The sequence below is a fragment of the Homo sapiens genome, chromosome 5, assembly GCF_000001405.40.
Source record: "Homo sapiens chromosome 5, GRCh38.p14 Primary Assembly".
Classification (NCBI taxonomy): domain Eukaryota; kingdom Metazoa; phylum Chordata; class Mammalia; order Primates; family Hominidae; genus Homo; species Homo sapiens.
The window spans coordinates 172,579,087-172,594,644 of NC_000005.10; the positions used below are offsets into that span (position 1 = coordinate 172,579,087).

Sequence of the window (15,558 nt, forward strand, 5' to 3'; positions counted from 1 at the left end):
TTATTGCTCCCCTCCCTACTCGCTGCCCTTTTCTCTCGTGGCTCCTGCTTCCTTGTGGCCCACTCATGGCTCGTCATGGCCCCCACCTCCCTCTACTCTGGAACTTCATGCCTTTGCTCCTGCTGCTTCCAGCTCGAGGCCTCCGCACCTCCAATTCCTCCAGCTCGAGGCCTCCACACCTCCAATTCCTCCAGCTCGAGGCCTCCACACCTCCAATTCCTCCAGCTCGAGGCCTCCACACCTCCAATTCTGGGTCTGCAGAGCAGGATCTGCATCAGTCAGCCCTTTCTTGCTGGAGTCAGTCCCCATCGTGACCTGCGTGGAAGGGATGGAGAGGAAGTTATGCCAGCACACAGCTTCTGTGTCTGACATCCCCAGTACAGCTTCCCAAAGGAAACAACACTGGGGCCCATGGCTATAGCCAGAAATCTGTCCTGCCTCCATGGGCCAAAAGCCCTATCTGGGAGTTGTCAGAAATTTCTGGCAGACAGAACATGTGAAGGCAGACAGAGACCTTCGCAACCCTGCTGACCTCCCAGCCAAGGGCCACCCAACCCAGAAGATATCAGATACCATGGGAAGTGGCCACCCACAAGCAGGCCACCAAGGGGGAGCTCTGTCTGGCTGCCCTACACCACACCGCCCCCACTCACCTCCATCCTCACCTGCTGCCAAGTGAGGCTGGGGTGCAGTGCCCGACTCTGAGCAGCGCAGTGTTACCAGTGCTCTTGGCACAGCTTGGCTGGCATCCAGATGCCTGCCTGGAGAATAGGAGGCCAGCCCTCCTCTCCCCTGGTGTGGGCAGCAGCCTGCTGGCTGGACCCCTGCTTTCAGGGCTTCCTCTCAGATGCCCCATCCCTAGAGCCCCCAGTGATCCTCCCAATCCACACCTTGTCATTCTCCCACCTGACCCTTCTAGTAACTGCCTGGGAGCCCACAGACTCACAGCCATGTCATAGGGGCATGACAGCCAAAGCCCCCTGGGACCTGGCCTGCCTGGCTCTCCGGCTTCCTACCTGTACATGCCCTGCCTCCCATATGACATGCCAGCAACACTGACCTGCTTAGCTTCTTGTACACCCATGCCATTCTAGCCTCAAGCCTTTATTTTTGTTGTGCCTTCTGCCTACTCCTCAGACACCTAGAATGGCCTTTCCACTTCCCTGTCCCTGCGTCCACCAACCCTTGCTTCTCTGTAAGACTTGGCATTGGTACCCCCTATGGAAGGGGGGTCCTGTCATCCTCCAGGAAGCCTCCAAGGCCTTTCATGGTGCTTCCCTATCATCCCCCACTGTGCTGTCTGCTGCGTCACCGTCTTCTAGGGATGCCCATCTCCCCAGCTGCTCCTGGAGAGCAGGGGCTCTGTCTGCATCATCTGATTCCCTGGTGCCCAGGGCAGGGTGCAGAGCACAATTGGGTCCTAAGGTATTTTAACCCTAATCTTCTGCAAGGGGACAGCAAACACATCCTCTGCCTGGATGCGGGGTTTGGAGGGATTTTCTTTTAGGCACGGAAGTGGTGAGACACTTCCTTTGCCAAGCTCTCACTGGGTTGCCTTGAAGCCTGGGAATTTGTCTCAGGCCCTCTTGGAAGGTCTATGTAGTTTTGGGGGGTTTCTATTTTGGTAGTGATAGGATAAATAGATTCAAGGTTTAGAGATGCAGCCGTTCCGAAGAGGCCACAAGATAGCTAAACCTGGAGATTTGCATGCTGAGGCCATGCCCATAAGATCCAGGCTTGCTGATGAGGTCAGAGAAACCCAGTGCAGCCTCAGAAAGGGTGCTCAGAGTAGCTGAACCTCTCGACTTATATTTCTTGGGGTTTTTCTGTTTGTTTGTCGTTGTTGTCGTTTGAGGCAGGGTCTGGCTCTGTTACCCAGGCTGGAGTGCAGTGGTGCGATCTCAGCTCACTGCAACCTCTGCCTCCCGGGCTCAAGCCATCCTTCCACCTCAGCCTCCCTTGTAGCTGGGATTATAGATGCACGCCACCATGCCCAGCTAACTTTTGTATTTTTTGTAGAGATGGGGTTTGACCATGTTGTCCAGGCTGGTCTCAAATTCCTGAGTTCAAGCAGTCTGCCCATCTCGGCCTCCCAGAGTGCTGGGATTACAGGCATGAGCCACCTTGCCTGGCTCCAATTTGTATTTCGCAAACACCATGATGGGAATTCCTGGTTCCTAACAACTTTTCTTAAAGTCTCTCTTTCCTCTTCCATCTGTTGCCTCCATACCTGCAGAGCCTCCAGGTCCATCCCCTCCCCTGTTCTTCCAAATCTGCATCATCAACACCCCCAAAGAACTGAGGATAGTAGATCCTTCCTAGGACGGAAGGGGAAGAACCTGACTGCCCCTTTCAGTGCAGGGCCCAGACAACAGATGGGACAAGGAACTCCAGTCTCCCAAGGAGGGGTTAACGTGGCGACTATTTGGAAAGGTGCCAAAAACCACAGAGACCACCCTAGGCCTGAAAGGGAAGAGAGGAGGGAGCAACTGACCCAAACCTAGAGGTTGCTGGAAACCAAGGAAATAAAAGATTGACCTCTCTCCTCCCTCCTTCCCTCCAGCCTCCAGCACTGCCCACTGGGCAACCCGACTGGAAGCTAAAAGGGAGAACAGTGTGGCATTGAGCAGGGTGGGGAGGGACAGGGGGTCTGGAGACACAAAGACAAGACATCCAAGCCAGACGGTCTTTAGTGGCTGGGGAAGGGAAAGGCTGGGACACTCAGACTGTCATTTTTGCTTGGCACAAGTGATGAAGGACAAACAAACACAACAAAACAGTTTTTGATAATAATAATTTTTTTTATAAGAATGTATTCCCTTCTTAAAAAAGGAAGAGTAGCCAAGTCCAAGGACATGCCTCGGAAAGTTCTGGAAGATTATACCATGTGTCAGGCAGCTGATAGGAACCCAAAGGGGGGTTTTTGGAGCAAGCACAAGCCACCTACCTAGCACCAAAGAAATCCATTAACTGATGAGATGCTGCCTAATTTCCTTTCACTGACATATCCCAAGCTAAGGTCCCAACCTCCAGATTTGCAAAACGAAATGAAAATGATTAATGCAATCTACTGCAATTGTTTTCAAGCTTAATATTCTGCCTAGAACCCATTCAGGGAAATGTACTATAATTGCATTTTAAACCACGAAGTGAAAGAAAGGGGCTGGGGCCAGACAGCCGGAGTGTGGGAGGAGAAGCTCCATCCCGGCGACCAACTAGAGGCCGAGAAGGAGACCTGAGGGTGCAAGGGCTTTGGGGGAGATTTTCAACAAATGAGGTTAATGAAGGTAGGTGGGAGAGGGAGCCTGGGGAAGGGTCTCACCCTAGAAGCCCTTGTAAGCCCTTCCAAAGGAACTGGAGGGACTGGGGAGAAACAGAGACTTTCTTACCCGGCATGCAATAGGAACTTAAACCCAGTTCCAATGAGCAAATGAAATTAGGCAACAAAACTGATCAAATTTTTATTTCTCAAAATGTATTGTTCAAACTACTAGTCCCATGAGATGCCTTTGGAAAAGAGGGTTTCGTGGTCAAATATCTTGGGGAAGAACCACATGTAAGGCACAGAGCTCATTAAGCCATTGAAGGTGCTGAGTGAAAATACATTGAACCAGACACCACAGTGTCCACATATAGAACCAGGGCCCTTGGCATGGATGGCTACTAACATCCAGCGGCATCGCTCTGAGCAGAACTTCTGGGTGGTGCTGTCGGATTAAACTAGTGAGGAGGAGGCTCCCTGCGGAGGAGAGAGGACCAGGGCTGGGGTTGTTTTCTCCCCATGACCAGACACCAATAAAATGTATCTTTTTTTTTTCTTGGAAGGGTGAGATGGTCACAGGTGGCCCAAATAAGGCTATGTCCAACTCTCCCTCTTCATCTGCCAGGGATAAGTCCAAGATACTTGAAGTTCATTCATTCATTCAGCAAACATTTGCTGAGCACCTACTGTGTGCCAGGAACTGTTCTAGGCACCGAGTGCAACAAGGCACAGGACAAAAAAAATCGCAGCCACGGAGGAGCTTACATTCCAGAAGAGTGCCATGTCCCCTCCTTCTCCCACAGCCCGGGAGTGTTCTGTGACACCCCTAAACCCATCCTGCCGCCATTGCTGATTGGGCCGGGGAGGGACACCTGATCCAGGGAGACCCAATCCAGACACTGGGTCAGGCCAATTCATTTCAGAGCTCAGACCTTGGAGCCCAGCAACCTGGGTTCAAACCCCAACTTCCTTACCCATTAACTAGGTGATCCTGGGCAAGTTAACCCCTCCTAGCTTCTGTGTCCTTGTTTATTATCTTCATAAGTAAGGATGACAATACAACTTGCCTTGTAAGGTTATTTTGAGAATTACATGAGAAAACTCACATAAAGACCTTGGACCAGTGGCTGGCACATCACTGGGGCTCCACAAGTTTGCTGTCGGGTCGTGATGGTCATTCTTGCTCCCACAGAGGAAGAGACTAGATTAGTTGGCTGGGCCTGGGGGATCTGTAAGGTTTGGGAAGGAAGACTGCCATTTGAGGACAGCCATTTGGGGACCCTCATGAGCAAACAGAGGGAGCTGATCTCCAAAGCAAATCAGAAAAAATGGTGATGACGGAAGAGAGGTGGGCCAAGGAGGGACAGAGTGAGCATCCCCTTTGCGTCTGACAGTTTGCTTCTTGCTTTGTGTCTGATGGTTCTTCCTCTTGAGGCTTGGTGGTTCCCCTTGGGTTCCATGACCTTTCCCAGTCTCCCACTAATTTCAGTTATTTTGACTGGGTTTTCTGTTCCTTAGAGGCAAGTAGCCCCTGACCAAGTCAAGGTGTCCCGAAAACCCTGCTCAAGAGTGTGACCTAATCAGGAAAAAGAAATTTGTTTACAGCGAGCCCAAGCTGGAGAACAAACAGGCTTCCTCTGCCAGGGCTTCCCCTCACTACGTGGGGCTCGGCATCGCACCTCCCACCTCCTGGAGGAGGAAAAGGAAGGAGGCATTTGGAAAGTAGGAGAAAGGCCAACAAGTGGGACCCAGAAGCTCTCCCCACCCAACACTGCCAGGACAGAGGGAAGACGTCCAAAGCTCATTAGCAAGTCCCAAGAGCCATTTCCTGTGATTCTTCAAGGCTGACTAGGTCACTCAGAGGAGCAGAAGACATCTGCTGTTTCTTCCCCTGCTGCAGATAGAGTCCCTGTCCAGCTAAGAAGGATAGGCCTGGAAACATTCCAGAAAAGCCCTCCCTCTGTTCCCTCTTCCTGGAAGGAGAGCCAGGGACACCGTGCTCTCCACAGTCCCCCTGAATGACATTTCCACTCTGCTGGGAGGCCTGGGCAGTGCTGAGATTAGAGAAGGTGGGAGGGCAGGCAGGCCCCCGGGGCAGAGGTTGAGCATGTGGGATTGCTGGGGGAGAAGGCAGCAAGAGGGGCTGGAGGTGGGGAGTTGACAGGCAAGCCCCAAAATGGCTTGAAATAGATGGTGGCCGTGAATGCTGTGTCGAGGAATGGGGGAGCCGCCAAAGGTCTTTAGGAGGGCATGGCAGGGTCTAACCTGAGTTTTAGGTAGATTGCTTTGGAAGCAGCACAAAGATCTGATCAATGACAAGGTGTGGCTTGGTCACAAAGAATAAGAAGCTGGGTATGCGGCCGAGGGCATGGCATCATCACACAGGGACCCTGACAAAGTTGATGGGGATAGAGCTGTTGACCTAGAGTCCTTCAGGTCCTTCCCTGCTTCCCCCATGGCAGCCTCAGAGCTGAGGGCTGGGCCTGTGCGTGAAGCCCAGCTGTGCTTCCAGTCTCGCTAGGGAGCTCCTTCATGACAGGCAGCTTTGGGCTAGAGTGAGATCCGTGGGGAGACAGGACAGAGACAAGACGATGTCACATACTGCAGGCATATTTATTCACTCAACAAACACTCACTACACATCTGCGCCGAGTCCTGAGCAGACACTTCCAGCCCTCCAGGGAGCACTCTTGATCGGGGCACTCTCCTCTTCCTCCTCCTCTTTTTCTTTTTTAAACCCTTGGCCCTTTCTAGTACATAAGTAAGGCTTGCTCTTTATATTAATTTCCTGTGGCTGCCACAACAAATTATAAAAGCTGGGTGGCCTAGAGCAGGAATTAATTCTCTCGCCATTCTAGAGAACCGGGAAGTGTGAAATCAAGGAGTCGGCAGGGCTGTGCTCCTTCTGAAAGCCCCAGGAGAGAATCCTTCCTCCCCGCCCTCTTAGCTGTTAGTGTTGCTGACAAACCTTGGCATCCTTGGCTTGGTGACACATTGCTCCAATCTCTGCCTCCATGGTCACACAGCGTTCTCCCTGTGTGTCCCTGTGTCTCTCCTCTTCTTACAAGGAGACCAGTCATATTGGATTATGGCCCACCCTAATCAAGTATGATTTCCATCTTAATGTGATTACATGGGAAAAGATGACAATTTCCAAGTGGGATCACACTCACACGTATCAGAGGTTAGGACTTCCACCTGGCTTTTGAGCACACAATTCTACCCACAACAACTTGGGTAGGAAATCATAGGGAATTTGTAGGCAAAAACAGAGATAAACAAAAGAAAAAAGAGATAAAAATAAAATTGTTAAAAAGTTGCATTACCCAGAGATAACAACTCTAACCTTTTGGGATGTCTCCTAAATATTATTCCCTCTCTACAAAAATATGTCATTATTTATGCAAAAATTCAGTCATCCTGTGCACACCATTGGGACCTGCTTATTTCACCCGATGAAATACAGTGTATGTTCTCATTGTTTTTCAAGCCTGGATTAGATCTTCCCTATTAAAATTGAGATGCACTACCTATGTGTCCTTCTTGATGCAGAAAATACGACTGATATCGTCTTAGCCTTGCTCACTTCCTTTCTTGTTAATGTCAATCTCATCACTTCCCTATAGGTCAATATTTTGGTCCTGCTTTACAGGTGAAGATATAGATTCAGAGATGTTAAGTACCTTGTCCCAGGTCACGAAGCCAATAAACATCACACTGGAGATCTGCACCCAGGGCCGTCAAAGGATAGAGTTGCTTCTTTGTGTTATTACTTGAAACCACCTCCTTCGATGGAGCTGCTTCTTGGGTATTATTCTATCAGGGATGCTATTAAGATTCACCTTGCAGGTCTTGATGGATGTGAATGAAGGAGAATTTGCAGGTGAAAAGGCAGGTGGAGGAGGTGTCATGCAAGGGCACAAAAGTAGGAACCGGCTCGCCCTGAGAAGGAAAACGTGAGCTGTTTGCTATAGCAAACAGTGAGGCAGGGCGAGGTGGGAGGTGTCAGCTGGGTCCTGCGAGGAATCTGGGCGTTATCCAGACAGCGATTGGAGCCCCTGGCACTGTCAGCACGGAGAAAGCTTGCGTTTTGGAGAGCTCATTCCGGCTGCAGGGTGGAGGATGGCTGGGAGAGGTTGACCAGGGCAGAGAGATTGGGGAGCCAGGGGGCGAGTAAGGGTGGGGGCTGGGGATGGGGTGGGGTGCGGCTTGACCAGTTGTATGAGGAAGAGCGAGGCTGGGGAAGGCGGAGTAAGATCTGAGGTCCAGCAGCTGCTCTCTGGTCTCCAGAGGAAGCTGAGGTGTGGGCCTTGCCCTGGGTGGCTCCACTTCAGCCCTGCTGGCCAGATCGACCGCCCTCGTTCTCTTTCTTAGCAGGAGACCTCCTAGTTGGCATCAAGCTAAGCCTCAGGCCTCACTGGTTGGAAGCCCTGGCTCCACACCACAGAAGGCACAGAGAGAAGTGGTGTGGCAGATGTACTGGGAACATGGGATTAAACACTTAGGGAGTGACGGAAAGCTGCCCTCTGGAGGGTGCGGGATGGGGCCCAGGCCCTGCCTCCTGCGCAGGAAGGCTGGGTGGTGGGGGCTGGAGGAAACAAGTCCCCTCTGGGGAGTGGAAGCAGGCTCACCCGTCTGTTTCTGGGGAGTGGAAGCAGGCTCACCCCTCTGTTTCTGGGGAGTGGAAGCAGGCTCACCCCTCTCTTTGCCCCCCCGGCAACACACACACAGTGGACCTAGCCCACACTTCCATCATCCGTCCTCGGGCAAAAAGATGTGCTTGTTTCCTCCAGCCCTCGCCACCCAGCCTTCCTGAGCAGGAGGCGGGGCCTGGACCCCATCTCCCACCCTCTGGAGGCAGCTTGATGCACACATCAGTGGTGCAGTCCACTCTCAGGAGGTGGAACTCGGTCCTCTGTGCGGGCCCTGGAAGTTTGGGCAGAGAATTCTGGGCTCCTGAGTGTCTGGAGGAAAGTCAGAAGTGGGGAGAAGGAGGGTTCTGGGCTCTGGGTCTCTGGCTTGGACAGCTGAATAGACTTAGGTGCTGCTCCCCGGTTTTGGAATCCCAGAAAAGGGAAGAGGCAGCTGGGATAGGGGTGATGATGAATTTAGAGCGAGCAGGTTGCCCTGAGGGGCTTGTGGTCGAGGAGGCTGAGTGGGGGAGCTCACCAGTCCAGGCTTAGCTACAGACCGAGGAGGGCCTCAGCTGCTGACCCCCAACACCCCAGAGAGATGAAGGATTCCTTCCAAACTCCTGGGCCAGTTGTTCCTCCCTCCCAGGTGCCAACTATAGTTACGGAGCTCGAATCATGGGGGATGGTCAGCCCTGTCTCCTCTGGTCCCTCCCTTCCCTGGCCTGCTCTATGGAAGGTCTCTGGGGTTCTGAGCCTTCCAAGAAGAGGAAAAGACAAGATGTCTCAACTCTAAGGTCAGAGCACTTTTCTAAGGAGTATCTGGATGTGGAAGAGTAGGCAAAGACATGAAAATATTAAACCTGGATAGGCCAAAGCATAAAGAGCTCTGGAATAGATGGGAAGGAAGCTGCCACTGATGGACTGACTGACTGATTGACTGATTGATTGATCGATTGTAGTAAAATGCATATAACATAAAAATTGCCCTCTCAACTGTGTTAAAGTGTACAGTTCAGTGGCATTAAAGACATGCACAATGTCATACAATGCCTACTATCCAGTTCCAGAACTTTTCATCACCCCAAGTGGAAACCCCATGAGCTACCATTGATTCGGGAGAAACTATGCACTGTGCTGCATTCTTCACTCCCATTAGCTCAGCTAACCCTCCTCATAGCTTTGAGAGGAGTCTGTTTCGCAGATGAGGAGAATGAAGCTCAGGAAAGAACAATAAGTTGCTCAAAGCCATACAGGTGGTACATGCCCAAGACAGGATTTGTGTCCAGGTTTGTCCAACTCCAGAGCCCATTATGTCTGATGGGGGCAGTTGGAGGATGCTGAGACTGGGGTAAAACCCACACAGCTGCTGCTGCTGTCCACTGGGGTACAGCTGGGTTGATCTCTACCCACACCCCAGAAGATGGTAGAGGACCTAGCAAGGCATTCTGCTATGCAGAGGAACTGTCTAGATGAACCAGGGACTCAGGCTGGAGATGGGGCTTAGCTGGGGGAGCAAGGGAGTGGGGCACAGTGCCAGGGCTTGTGACCTATTGAGGGCAATCCCAGTTAGGGGCTGGCAGTAGGGACCAGGGTCCTATCCCTAGGGAAGAGCGCTGATCCCAGCCGTGCAGTGGACAGCCGGCGTCAGAGAGGTCCTCCATGCCAGGCAAGGGGCTGCCAGGAGCACCAGCTGGAGGTGGGGCCTGACTCCAGATCCCAAACCCTTCCCAGCAGGGGTCTGAGTCCAAGCAGGAAGTGCTCGTGGCCCTCAAATCTGTGTCTCCCGTGGACTCCGAAAAACTCAAGATTTCATTGGTGTGAAGGCCTCAGATGCACCCGTGCAGCAGGAAGTCAGAAAAGCTTTCACCTTTTCTCTTCTCTTTCTTCTACGTGTGTGCATGCAAATACACTCAGATGTAAAAATGGAATCTTATTATACATCCAGTTTTGCCACCTGTCTTTTTTTTTCTACTCAAAAATGTCACGGGAATCTTCCCAAGCTATTTAGACATCATGCGGTTTAAAGGCGACACAGCAGTCCATTGCACGGCTGCCTCCTAGTTTATCTGACCCAAGGTTCTTACTTGGCAGCATCTGGAGACATTTTTGATTGTCACAACTTGAGGGGCGGGGTGCTACTGGCATCTAGTGGGTAGAGGTCAGAGATGTTGCTAAACATCCTACAATTGACAGGACAGCTCCCTCTAATGAAGAATTACCTGGTCCCAAATGTCAATGGTGCTGATCTAACCAATGTCCCACTAATTAGCATTTAGACCTTATCCAGTAGCCAAATGGTTTGATTATTACAATGTCGCCATTAACATCTTTTTGACACACAGTCCATCCTCATTTTTCGTAGATTCCTTTTGGCAAATGTGCCTACTTGCTTAAATTTATTTGTAACCCCAAAAGCAATATTTGCTGCACTTTGACAGTCGTTCTCAGATACGCACAGAGCAGTCAAAAGCTTGCCTCACCCAATGGGCACTTCCCAGACGAGGTGGAGCGAGGCCAGGCTCTGCCTTCCTGTGTCAGCTCTCGCACTGGAAATTAGCGTCCTTTTGCAGTGTATTTAGTGCCACCATTTTTTGTGCTTTTTGTTGGTGATGTCACTGTTAAAATGGCCCCAAGCACAGAGCTGACGTGCTGTCTAGTGACCCTAGGCACAAGAAGGCTGCGATGAGCCTTATGGAGGAAAGACATGTTAGAGAAGCTTCATTCAGGTTTGAGTGATGGCCATGAGTTCAACGTGAATGAATCTGCAATATACACTAAATAAGGTGTCTTTGAACAGAAACACACATACAACGAGGTGGTGTATTGATCACTCGACAAGTGTGTTGTGACCAGAGGCTGAAAGGACCCTAACCCTGTATTTCCCCTGGGAGCAGTGCCTTGATGTTTGCTAATTCGGTGTTCCCAGCAACTTTAAAGAACATGACTGGCACAAACAATGAGAACTGATGGTACACCATGATTGTTTTACATGTTGTATACCCTGGAAGTGTGGTGGCTGCCTCACACGGTGAGGTCCTTTTGAGTATTGATACTTAGGATCAAACTAACATGCAGCAACAATGCTCTCACCAATGGGATATGAGAGTCTCAGTTCCCTGCACTCTTCCCAGCATGAAGTAGGGTTGATTTTTTGCATCTTTTTCAGCTATTAAATTTTTTTCATTTTTTTCCAACTATTGACAATTTCTTGAACTCCAAGGGAATGTGCACGGAAAGAAATAGTCTTACAATTTTGTACATTGCCCAACGTCTAATTTTTCATTTCCCATAATTAATACTCCTCAAAAAATTTAACATTCTAATAATTAAGCTGCTGAGTTCTTAAAACTTATGAATTTAATAAATTAGATGTTCCCAAGCATTTAAGCTTTGATTACAAACTTAACCAAATAAGCTCTTCACACATCTATTATTTCAAATTCTCGTAAGTGCTTTAAATATCTTGAAAAGTAGACAATTATATAACGATAAAGCTGACAAGAACACTTTCACCATAACTGGTGATAGCAGGACCAACATCATGGATTTCAACTTGTCTTTTTATTACTTCTATTCTTATTTTCATTTACTATCTCTTGTTATTTCTAGTTTCTTCCTGGGGCTAGGATTTTATTTACCCAACCAAAGAATTGAAGTTTACTTCCCAGGCTGCCTGAGCCTGCAGATACCAGCCAATGGTAGATGACTCAGGAGCCTGGTTTGTGAGACTTGGGTGCATCTTTCACCCATTATGTTGCTGGGCACACCCCTTTTTAGGACTTCCTATGCATTCTATCTGTTGCATTAGGCCCAGTGCAGTGGCTCATGCCTGTAATCCAAATGCTTTGGGAGGCCAAGGTGGGAGGATCACTTGAGCCCAGGAGTTCAAGGCCAGCTTGAGAAACATGGTGAGACCTCATCTCTACAAAAAATAAAAAATAATTAGCTGGTTGTGATGCACGTACCTGTGATCCCAGCTACTTGGGAGGCTGAGGTAAGAGGATTGCTTGAGCCCAGGAGGTTGAAGCTACAGTGAGCCATGATCGTGTCACTACATGCCAGCCTGGGTGACAGAGCAAGATCTTCTCTCAATAAATAAATAAATAAATAAATAAATAAATAAATAAATAAGGCCCCTGTTATTGCCCCCAACCAAATGGATTCATTTAGATTTGTTCACAGCCTTGATCTTTTCCTCGAAAGGACATTTGTTCATTCACATCCCTTGCTGCTGCTGAATGACTTGACATGAGCATTTTTTGCAATCCTTTGCTCCGAATGCTTCATCTGCAGAGGATATCTGCTCATGACACCATTTCATGAAGGTTTCTCCTGAAGGTTCTTTCTTCATGATATTATATAACCTGAGTGGTTTTATTTTGTAACTGCTTTTTTGTGAATGGGGTTTGCCCCAATTTGGACAAATCTAAAGCTTTTGGCTACTCTAATTATAACAGATCTTTCTTATCTACCACGAAGACCTCCAGTATTGACAATAACCCAACGGGACACGCCAGCCTTTTTAAGATCTTCTTAGTGCTCTGCTGTGGAGACGCATCATATTTTATTTAGTCAGTGCTGCATTGCTTGACATCTAGTAGCATCTAGTCTTTCACTATTATAGTTAGTGCTGCCATGGATATTCTTATGCATGAATCTCTGTGTATTCATCCAATTATTTCCAAAAGTAGAACTGACTGGGTCTAATTCTGAAGCAGTTGCCAACAATTAAAAGTCATATTCTCACGGAAATCTGATTTCTGACTATGGTTGACAGGTGGAGCAATCTGGCAGCCCAAGCCCATCCCTGCGAGATAATGACCTGGACGCAGGGTCTGCTCCCTCTAGAAGCTGGTCTCTTGGGAGTCTCACTTGGCTCTTTCTCCCATTTGCAAGACCTGCCTGGCTTTTATAGATTCTGAGTGTGCAAACCCTGGCATTTGTCGATTTGATGGGTTTAAAATGACATCTGATTGAAGTTGTAATTTTTATTTACTAAATGATCGGTGCAATTGAGCCTGTGCAGCTGAGGAACGTCTTCTGGCTTTTATTAGTCATTGATGTGTCTTGTTTTGTGACTTGCCTGTTCACGGTCTTTGCTCTAATTTTCTATTGGGTTGTCTGTAAGAGCTCTTTATCCTTTTAAAGTTAAAAGAAGAAATAAAAAAGCATCTCTACTTTAAATTAGCCTGGTTTGGGCAGCAGACAAGATATAGGCTGTCTCATGCACACCTAGAAGACTTCTGAAGTTGCCTGAGTCCAGGTTGGAGGGGCAAGAGATGACAGGTGGGCAGCCTGGCACTCTATTAACCATACCTGGATGCAGCTTGGGCTAGAAAGGACATACAGACTGAAAACAGGATCTTGAAATAATACTATTTTAGGTCAGCCTATCCCTTGATATGCACACAACTTTACATCCCATGGAACGTTCTGTAGGCAAAGAGCAATGGACCGGGAGTCAATTAGACCTGGAGTTCAGTCCCAGCTCTGCTACCTCCTAGCTGTGAGATGTTGGGTGAATCACTTCACCTCTCTGAGCTTTTTTTTTGTCCTCCCTCACGCTGTCTTATGGTCTTCCTAAAGCCAGCAGGTTCTTGCAACCATGGTCTCAAAAGAAGAAAGCCAAAAAAAAAAATCTTGAACTGGAAGAAATAAGTTCTGGGATCTAGTCCCAACTCTGATGCTTACTGTTTCTGGTTCTTAGTTTTCCCATGTGTAAATGAGGGGCTTGGGCGCTACAAGCCCTGAGGATGCAGCCATCTCTGGCATTCTAAGATGAAAAACTGCCTTCTACTGTCTTATCTTGAATTCCTGGTTGGGCCAGCTCAGCTCAGTAGATTTCAGCTTGATTGAAATAATAGCCATGTCCTGAGCTTCTTCAATGTACCGGGCACAAATTGGGTCAGGGACTTCAGAAAAAAGCAGAACAGATATGGTCCTTGCCCCCATGGCATCCAGGGCTAGACCAAGGGAAATTGACAGGCTGTTAATTTCTGGGAGCCCAGAAGGCATTTAGCTGAGCCTTGGGTCCTGGGAGGCTTCCTGGAGCAGGAGCGGTCTGGGCCCGAGGGTCAGCAGGAGTCAGATGCCCCAGGAGGGGGAACAGCATGCGCAAAGGCTCGGGAGGAAGATGAGGTGTGGCTCAGTGCTGGGAGTGAACTAAGCACGGAGGAGGTGGGTTCAGGGTTGGGGAGGACCACAGAGGTTGGCAGGGCCAGATCATGGAGACCTTTGCAAAGATGTTAAGGAATCAGGGCCTCTTTCCAGGCATGGAGAAGAGTTTTGATGACAGGACTGACAAGTCAGCTTTGTATCTTCGGAAGAGCACCCTGGCTGCTGAGAGGAGGCCCGAGGATGGACTGGAGGGAGGGAGACTATGAGGAGGAGAGTGGGATGAAGGGAAAGGGGTGGGGCTGAGGGTTTCCCAGGCCAAATACTGCCGTGGGTGTGGGGTGAGGAAGAGGAAGGTTAGAACGGTGGCCGCCAGCGAGGCCTGGCAAGGGCGTGGGAGAGCAGCTTTAGCGGGAGGCAGATGGCCAGCGAGGTGGGGCGGCTGTGGACATTTGGGGGGGATGACTGTCCGAAGGCCACGAGGGTAGGTTTAGTGGCTGACAGATTCATTCACTCATTCATCTATTGTGGCCCACTTTGGACCAGGCCCTGGACTGGGCCGAGCCAGTGAATGAAAGATAACTTGTCTCTGCACTTCAGGTGGGAGAAAGGCAGTAATGAAGGGATGTATTATCCAAGGACTACCAGGATGTGGAGAGCAAGGAAAAGACAGCAGAGGTGGGAGGTGGGGCTGCCAGGACTCAGGAGGGGTGGCAATTCTACTCAGGAGGACCAGGGAAGGTCTCATGAAGAAGGAGGCTTGTGAAGAAACTGTGCATCCGTTCCTCCGTCGGCCCATCCATTCATCTGTATGTCCAGCAACACTGGGAGAGGCACCAGCGGGAGGAAGTGAAGGAGTACGCTGCAGAACTTAACCTGTGAGCAACTGTGGGCGTCCGTCCTCTGGGGGTGAGTCAGAGGAGAAGCAGGGGACCAGGATGGGCTAGAGTAGGGAACTCCAAGCCTGGCAATGCCTGCCCAGCTTGCTTTTGGGGATCATCAACAACTACAGCAGGAAAAAAAAAAGCAGAACCACTGTTGCTTAACTTGGGTTTTGTTTGTTTGTTTGTTTTGAGACAGAGTTTCACTCCCGCCATCCAGGCTGGAGTGCAGTGGCATGATATTGGCTCACTGCAACCTCCGCTTCCCAGGCTCAAGGAATTCTCTTGCCTCAGCCTCCTGAGTAGCTGGGACTACAGGCGTGCACCACACGCTCGGCTAATTTTTTTGCATTTTTTTAGTAGAAATGGGGTTTCACCAAGTTGCCCAGGCTGGTCTCAACTCCCAAGCTCAAATGATCCGCCCACCTTGGCATCCCAAAGTGCTGGGATTACAGGCGTGAGCCACTGCACCTAGCTGGATTTTTTTCTTTTTATAAATCAAGTCTTCTTTTTAATGTTATTTCAAAGGTCTGTGGGGCATCACGACCCAGGTCCCCAGCACTAGCCTGCTGTCCTGTCTCCTCCCCAGGGCCAGGCTGACCTCTCACTTTTACCGTCTTCAGAATGGCTGAGTGCAGACCTGTCTCCTCCAGTGTGCAGGCTGCGA

At 49.7% G+C, this 15,558-nt stretch overlaps 1 annotated feature.

The window, feature by feature from the left end:
• Positions 5,570–6,070: an enhancer, noted in NCBI's record as "H3K4me1 hESC enhancer chr5:172011659-172012159 (GRCh37/hg19 assembly coordinates)". NCBI's record gives its function as "activates a minimal SCP1, AML or CMV promoter by ChIP-STARR-seq in primed H9 embryonic stem cells {active_cell/tissue: H9 hESC(primed)}" and the evidence as "EXISTENCE:reporter gene assay evidence [ECO:0000049][PMID:30033119]".